The sequence below is a fragment of the Homo sapiens genome, chromosome 4, assembly GCF_000001405.40.
Source record: "Homo sapiens chromosome 4, GRCh38.p14 Primary Assembly".
Taxonomy (NCBI): Eukaryota; Metazoa; Chordata; class Mammalia; order Primates; family Hominidae; genus Homo; species Homo sapiens.
Window position 1 is genome coordinate 145,257,251 of NC_000004.12, and position 7,735 is coordinate 145,264,985.

Here is a 7,735-nt window from a genome sequence, read left to right on the forward strand (position 1 = left end):
TGTCTTAGTAGAGTGAAGAAAATGCTGGGAAACAAAAAACTCCTCTTTCAGAAATATTGTCTTGTCTACGTACAAAGGACTTCATTATTTATTTATTTAAATACAGTAAGAAATTTGAATTCAAGGTGGACTGGAATCACCCCTAACCCTCCCTTGGCTGATTGGGATGTATTTTCTTTTCTTTCTTTTTTTTTTTTATACTTTAAGCTCTAGGGTTCATGTGCACAACGTGCAGGTTTGTTACATATGTATACATGTGCCACGTTGGTTTGCTGCACCCATTAACTCGTCATTTACATTAGGTATTTCTCCCAGTGCTATGCCTCTCCCATTCCCCCACCCCACGACAGGCCCCAGTGTGTGATGTTTCCCGCCCTGTGTCCAAGTGTTCTCATTGTTCAATTCCCACCTATGAGTATGAAGATGCCATGTTTGGTTTTCTGTCCTTGTGATAGTTTGCTCAGAATGATGGTTTCCAGCTTCATCCATGTCCCTGCAAAGGACATGAACTCATCCTTTTTTATGGCTGCATAGTATTCCATGGTGTGTATGTGCCACATTTTCTTAATCCAGTCTATCATTGATGGACATTTGGGTTGGTTCCAAGTCTTTGCTATTGTGAATAGTGCTGCAATAAACATACGTGTGCATGTGTCTTTATAGTAGCATGATTTATAATCCTTTGGGTATATACCCAGTAATGGGATGGCTGGGTCAAATGATATTTCTAGTTCTAGATCCTTGAGGAATTGCCCCACTGTCTTCCACAATGGTTGAACTGGTTTACACTCTCACCAACAGTGTAAAAGCATTCCTATTTCTCCACATCCTCTCCAGCATCTGTTGTTTCCTGACTTTTTAATGATTGCCATTCTAACTGGTGTGAGATGATATCCCATTATGGTTTTGATTTGCATTTCTCTGATGGCCAGTGATGACGAGCATTTTTTCATGTGTCTGTTGGCTGCATAAATGTCTTCTTTTGAGAAGTGTCTGTTGATATCCTTTGCCCACTTTTTGATGGGATTGTTTGATTTTTTTCCTGTAAATTTGTTTAAGTTCTTTGTAGATTCTGGGTATTAGCCCTTTGTCAGATGGGTAGATTGCAAAAATTTTCTCTATTGGGACATATTTTCTATGTGGATAATACACATGGGAAGCCAAATAATAATTAGAAACTTGCTATCAAAGCAAGTAGAGTCAAATGGATTATGTCAATCACTATCATAGTCTAAAGTGCCTTCTTCTACTGCTGGAGAAAGACCTTACAGAGACCAAGAGTTACATTTACTTGGGTACCTAGTATCTGAATGGAGATACATTCTTGATGTCCATCTCTCACTTTCCTTGGCTCCATAGTGCTCATCTATCTTTCAGTTGTCCCACTACTCTTTCCTTGGCTCTCAGATTGGCCATCAGGCTTTCTCCAGGCAGAGCACAATAAAATTGGTTAACCATTAATTTAATATAAGTTGTATATCTATTTCAGGCCAGTTTCTGAGAGGCTGCACCCAGTATGGCTTGGCTAAACTTGAATGTGCCCCAATCACCTGAGCCTAGCATTTCTGGGCAACTTCATGCATTCTTGTTTTGTTTTGAAATGAAAATACATGGCAAAAAAAAAAAAAAAAAAAAAAAAACACCAAAACCAAAAACAAAAAAACCCAGCAAAAACACATGCACACACACAAAAAGTACAGAACAAAAAAGTCCACTCATACTTTTTTTTTTTTTAAATAAAGAAAAGTTTAATTGGCTCATGGTTCTATAGGCTGTACAGGAAGCATAGTCTTGGCATCTGCTTCTGGTGAAGGCCTCTGGAAGGCAAAGATGGAGCAGGCATGTCACATGGTGGGAATGAGAACAAGAGGTGGGGGTAGGTGCTTTTAAACAACCAGATCTCATGAGAACTCACTCACTATCATGGGGACAGTACCAAGCCATGAGAGAGCTGCCTCCATGACCCAAACATCTCCCACTAGACCCCACCTCCAACATTGGGTTTACATTTCAACACGAGATTTGAATGAGGACCAAATATCCATACTATATTATGCCACCCCTCGTTTCCCCAAAATCTCGTGCCCTTCTCATATTGCAGAATACAATCATGCCTTCCAAATAGTCCCCCAAAGTCTTAACCCATTTCAGCATTAACTCAAAAGTCCCAAGTTAGAGTCCAAAGTCTCATCTGAGACTCATCTACTTCCACCTATAAGCCTGTAAAATCAAAACAAGTTATTTACTTCCAAGATACAAGGGGGGTACAAGTATGGGGTGAACATTCTCATTACAAAAAGGAGAAATTGGCCAAAAGAAAGGGGCTACAGGCCCCATGCAAGTCTGAAACCCAGGGGAGGGCAGTCATTAAATCTTAAAGCTCCAAAATTGTCTCCTTTGATGCCTTCTATATCCTGCAACCAGGGCACACTGGCACAAGGGTTGGGCTCCCAGGGTCTTGGGAAGCTCCACTTCTGTGACTTTGTAGGATGCAGCCCCTGCAGTTGCTGTCACAGGTTGGGCTTGAGTGCCTGTGGCTTTTCCAGGCTTAGGATGCAAGCTGCTGGTGGCTTTATCATTCTAGGGGGTCTGGAGGATAGCAGCCCCTTTCCCACAGCTCCGCTAGGCAGTGCTCCGGTAGGGACTCTGTGTGGGGCTTACAACCCCACATTTCCCCTCTGCACTGCCCTAGTAGGGGTTCTCTATCAGGGCTCCACTCCTGCAGCAAGCTTCTGCCTGGGCACCCAGGGTTTCTCATACATCCTCTGAGATCTAGATAAGGCTGCCAAGTCTCCTTCACTCTGTGCACCTACAAGCTTAACACTACATGGAAGCCTCCAAGGCCTATGATTTGTGCCCTCCAGAGTGGAGGTCTGAGCAGTAACTGGGCCCCTTTGAGCTGCAGCTGGAGCTGGAGCTGGAGCAGCAGGGAGGCAGGTATGCAGGTACCAGTGTCCCCAGGCTGCTCAGAACAGTGGGGCGCTGGGCCTCACCCACTAAACAATTCTTTTCTCCTAGGCCTCTAGGCCTATGATGGGAGGGGCTGCCGCAGAGATATCTGAAATGCCTTCAAGGTCTTTTTCCCATTGTCTTGGCTATCAGCACTTGCCTCCTTTTTAGTTATGCAAATCTCTCTGGCAAGTAGTTGCCCTGCAGCCTACTTGAATTCCTCTCCAGATAATGCTTTTTCTTTCTCTGTCACATGGCCTGACTGAAAATTTTCCGGACTTTTATGTTCTGCTTCCTGTTTAAATATAACTTCCAACCTTAAGTTATTTGTTTGCTCCTGCATCTGAATGTAGGTCATTAGAAACAGCCACGCTAACTCTTGAACACTTTGATGGTTGGAAATTTCGGGCTGGGCGTGGTGGCTCATGCCTGTAATCCCAGCACTTTGGGAGGCCGAGGTGGGTGGATCATGAGGTCAGGAGTTCGAGACCAGCCTGGCCAACATGGTGAAACTCCGTCTCTACTAAAAATACAAAAATTAGCCGGGCGTGGAGTGTGTGCCTGTAATCCCAGCTACTCAGGAGGCTGAGGCAGGAGAATCACTTGAATCTGGGAGGCAGAGGTTGCAGTGAGCTGAGACTGTGCTATTGCACTCCAGCCTGGGTAACAGGGTGAGACTCTGTCTCAAAAACAAAACAAAACAAAACAAAACAAAAAAACAAAGAAATTTCATCCACCGGATACCCTAGGTTATCACTCTCAAGTTCAAACTTCCACAGTTCTCTAGGACATTGACACAATACAGCCAAGCTTTTTGCTAAGGTACAACAAGGGTTTCCTTTATGCCATCTTCCAGTAAGTTCCTCGCTTTCATCTGAGACCTGGTCAGACTGGACTTCATTGTCCAAGTCACTTATCAGTATTTTGGTCGCAATCATTTTACCCGTCTCTAAGATGTTCCAAACGTTCCCTCATCTTCTTGTCTTCTTCTGAGCTCTCTAAACTCTTCAAACCTCTGCCTGTTACCCAGTTCCAAAGTCATTTCCACATTTTCAGGTATCTTTATAGCAATACCCCACTTCTCAGAACGAATTTTCTGTATTTGGCTGTTCTTGCATTGCTATGAAGAAATACCTGAGACTGGGTGATTTATAAAGAAAACAGGTTTACAGCTGGGCATAGTGGCTCCCGCCTGTAATCCCAGCACTTTGGGAGGCCGAGGTGGGTAGATCACCTGAGGTCAGGAGTTCGAGACCAGTCTGGCCAACATGGTGAAACCCCGTCTCTACTAAAAATACAAAAATTATCTGGGCGTGGTGGTGGGTGCCTGTAGTCCCAGCTACTCAGGAGGCTGAAGCAGGAGAATTGGTTGAACCCGGGAGGTGGAGGTTGCAGTGAGCCAAGATTGTGCCACTGCACTCCAGCCTGGGTGACAGAGTGACACTCTGTCTCAAAAAAAAAAAAAAAAAGAGGTTTAATAGGCTCACGGACAGGAAGCATAGTGCCAGTATCTGCCTCTGGTGAGGGTTTCAGGAAGCTTACATTCATGGTGGAAGGTGAAGGGGGAGCAGGTGTCTCACATGGTAGGAGCAGAAGCCTTTACTAACTCTTGACCTCTTCCCTCAACCCAGTATTTCTAATCCCATTTTTAAGAGGCAACTAGTTTCCTGTCTTTCCAGAGACATTTCTCTCTGTCTCTCTCTCTCTTTCATACACACACACACACACACACACACACACACACACACACATGCACACACACACACACAGTAGTATATTCTGTCCATTGCTCTTTCTGCTTTTTTTACTTAACAATATATCTATCCATTATATTTTGAGTGCCTCACTTTCAGTTCTTATGTTCCCACCATATCCATCATTATTGCACACAATTGTTGCTTCTAACCTTCTCTTTGGCTCTCTATTCATCACTACACTAATCTTCAGAGGAAGTTACCTTCTTCCTTACCTGAAGTCAGAATTGTTTGAGGAAAAACCATTATAGAATTATTAGGTATAAATCATTATAGAATCATTATGTATATACCATTAACAGACCACTCAAAAAAGCTTCCAGCAAACTTTAACAGTACCACAAGCATGCAATTATTTGTAAATCATTTTCTTATGATGAACAAAGAAAAAGGAAACTCAGATATTTTGAAAATAGAAAGATCCATATTTTACCATATTTTTATTTCTGCACCTATAATCTATGACCATGTATAGCACACTAAAATAATGTGTTTTAATTTGCTATGACTACAAATAAGATTGTCCTAAGCTCTAAAAATCGATGTTTAAGTAGATTATCCTTTATATTTAAATTGTTTCTACTCTAATAGTATGATTTTTCTTGTAAACCTGTATATATCAGGATGGAAGTCCTTTTTAAAAAAGTGCAAGTGTCTTTTTAAAAAAGAGAGACATTTTTTAAGAAATGCACTACACTTCATAGTGTAGAAAGAAGGTGACATGATTTGGCTGTGTCCCCACCCAAATCTCATCTTGAATTCCCATATGTTTTGGGAGAGACCTGGTGGGAGGAAATTGAACCATGGGAGCAAGTCTTTCCCATGCTGTTCTCGTGATAGTGAATAAGTCTTATGAGATCTGACGGTTTTAAAAAGAGGCATTCCCCTGCACAAGCTCTCATTTTTTGCCTGCTGCCATCCACTTAAGATGTGACTTGCTCCTCCTTGCCTTCAGTCATGATTGTGGGGCTTTCTTTTGTAAATTGCTCAGTCTTGGGTATGTCTTTATTAGCAGCATGAAAAAGGACGAACACAAAAGGAGATCTAATAGTCTGAAAATAACCCTCTAATTCCTAATTTTTTTTTTTATTTTTTCGGAGACAGAGCCTTGCTCTGTCACCAGGCTGGAGTGCAGTGGCACGATCTTGGCTCACTGCAACCTCTGCCTCCGGGGTTCAAGCAATTCTCCTGCCTCAGCCTCCTGAGTAGCTGGGATTACAGGCATGTGCCACTATGCCTAGCTAATTTTTGTGTTTTTAGTAGAGATGGGGTTTCACCGTGTTAGCCAGGATGGTCTTGATCTCTTGACTTTGTGATCTGCCCTCCTCGGCCTCCCAAAGTGCTGGGATTACAGGCGTGAGCCACTGCACCCAGCCTAATTCCTAATTTCTTATGCATGGAGACGTCATGGGACAAAAGTGCTCCTCCGGGAGGGCTGTCTAGAATGGTCATGTTTGGGAAAAACTCAGGAAATATTTTCCCCTGTGATCTCATGCCACAACAATCATTAACACAGAAGACATATATGACCAAATATGTGTGTGGGGGTTTTTCCCACCACCAAGTATACGGTCACTTCTGCAGCAGACACCAACTTAATGTTCTCTAATTTAATTACAACACTATCTACCTGAATCTAATGTCAGATCCCACAGGTTTGGGGCTCAGACCCCAAAACTGCCCTCACCTTCAGATACCAGTTGCAAGTCTGAGCCTCTAGAACTTCTGATCAACTGGCTTCAAGCTGGGGTTCCCACAATCCTCTCTTTGGATCTCAATAATTTGCTAGGGTGGCTCACGGAACTCAGGGAAACACTTATGTTTACCAGTTTATTATAAAGGATATTGCAAAGGAGGCAGATGAAGAAATGCATAGCGTGAAGTATTGGGGAAGGGGCGCGGAACTGCCATGCCTTTTCTTGGTGTACCACCCTCCATGAACCTACACATGTTCGGCTCTCTGGAAGCTCTCTAACTCTGCCCTTTTGGGTTTTTATGGCAACTTCATTGTGTAGGCATGATTGACAACCATGCAGAAATGTGACTGGACAAAAAGCATATGATTTAAACTCAGCAAGGCCTGTCTGTTCAGATTCTTCTTGGCCTCTCTCTGTAGCACTCCTTCCTCCAGAGTATGGGGCAGGACTCTCTCTGAAGTGAGGATCTTTTAGCCCACAGTCAGATTAGAGTCCTGCCATAGGCAAGTAAAAGGAGGACAGGAGAAGGTGAGAGGGAGAAATTCTGTTTCCTGAGAGCTGGTCCTGAGGCCTAAAGTGCCCCAACATTATAACAAAGGACTGTAACAAGGGCAATGGGAGGTATAAGCCAGGAACTGCGAATTAAAAAAAAAAAATATATATATATATATATATAAATCACAGGTTGCCACGTCTCTTTGCTGGCCAAGAGAGCCCACTGCTGTGTGGGTCCTTGGCTTCTTTCTTCAGGACTTGGTGAAAAAGCTAGCCTTTAAAGATATTGTGCTGCTTCTGAAAACCTATGCAGACTCTGCAGGAGAGGGCCTTATTCTTGAAAGCTTTCTGATTAAGATTTGATTTTAGTATTACCTCATCTTTCATGTCCTGCTTGATCCTCTGCTTCATTCCAAACTTGGCCTTTAGAGTCAGAAAGACCTGGATTCAGATGCCAGTTCTGCCTCTTATAACTGTATCAACTTAGACATGTGTCTCAACCTCTTGATGCCTTGCTTTCAACTTCCACAATGATGGGAATAATGATATCTACCTTATAGGAATTTCATGAAGATTAAATGATATACTGTACATAAAATGATTAACACAGAGTAGATGCTTCATATTTGTTATTCATTCAATAATAACTATGTGTCAGAAACATACTTCAGGAGAAGGCTAAACATTGATGTATTAACAAGAGTTAGTCAATAAAGGTGGATGGAAGGGCCCTGGGATTAGGGAGAAGATTATTATTCCAAACAGAGGGAACAGCATGTGCAAAATGATAGAGTAACAGTGAGCATGTTGTGTTCTAGAAATAGAAAGAGGATTAAGATG

General features: G+C 42.6%; 1 annotated feature.

Annotated features, from left to right (window-relative positions):
* Positions 2,779–3,493: an enhancer, noted in NCBI's record as "OCT4-NANOG-H3K27ac-H3K4me1 hESC enhancer chr4:146181181-146181895 (GRCh37/hg19 assembly coordinates)". NCBI's record gives its function as "activates a minimal SCP1, AML or CMV promoter by ChIP-STARR-seq in naive H9 embryonic stem cells {active_cell/tissue: H9 hESC(naive)}" and the evidence as "EXISTENCE:reporter gene assay evidence [ECO:0000049][PMID:30033119]".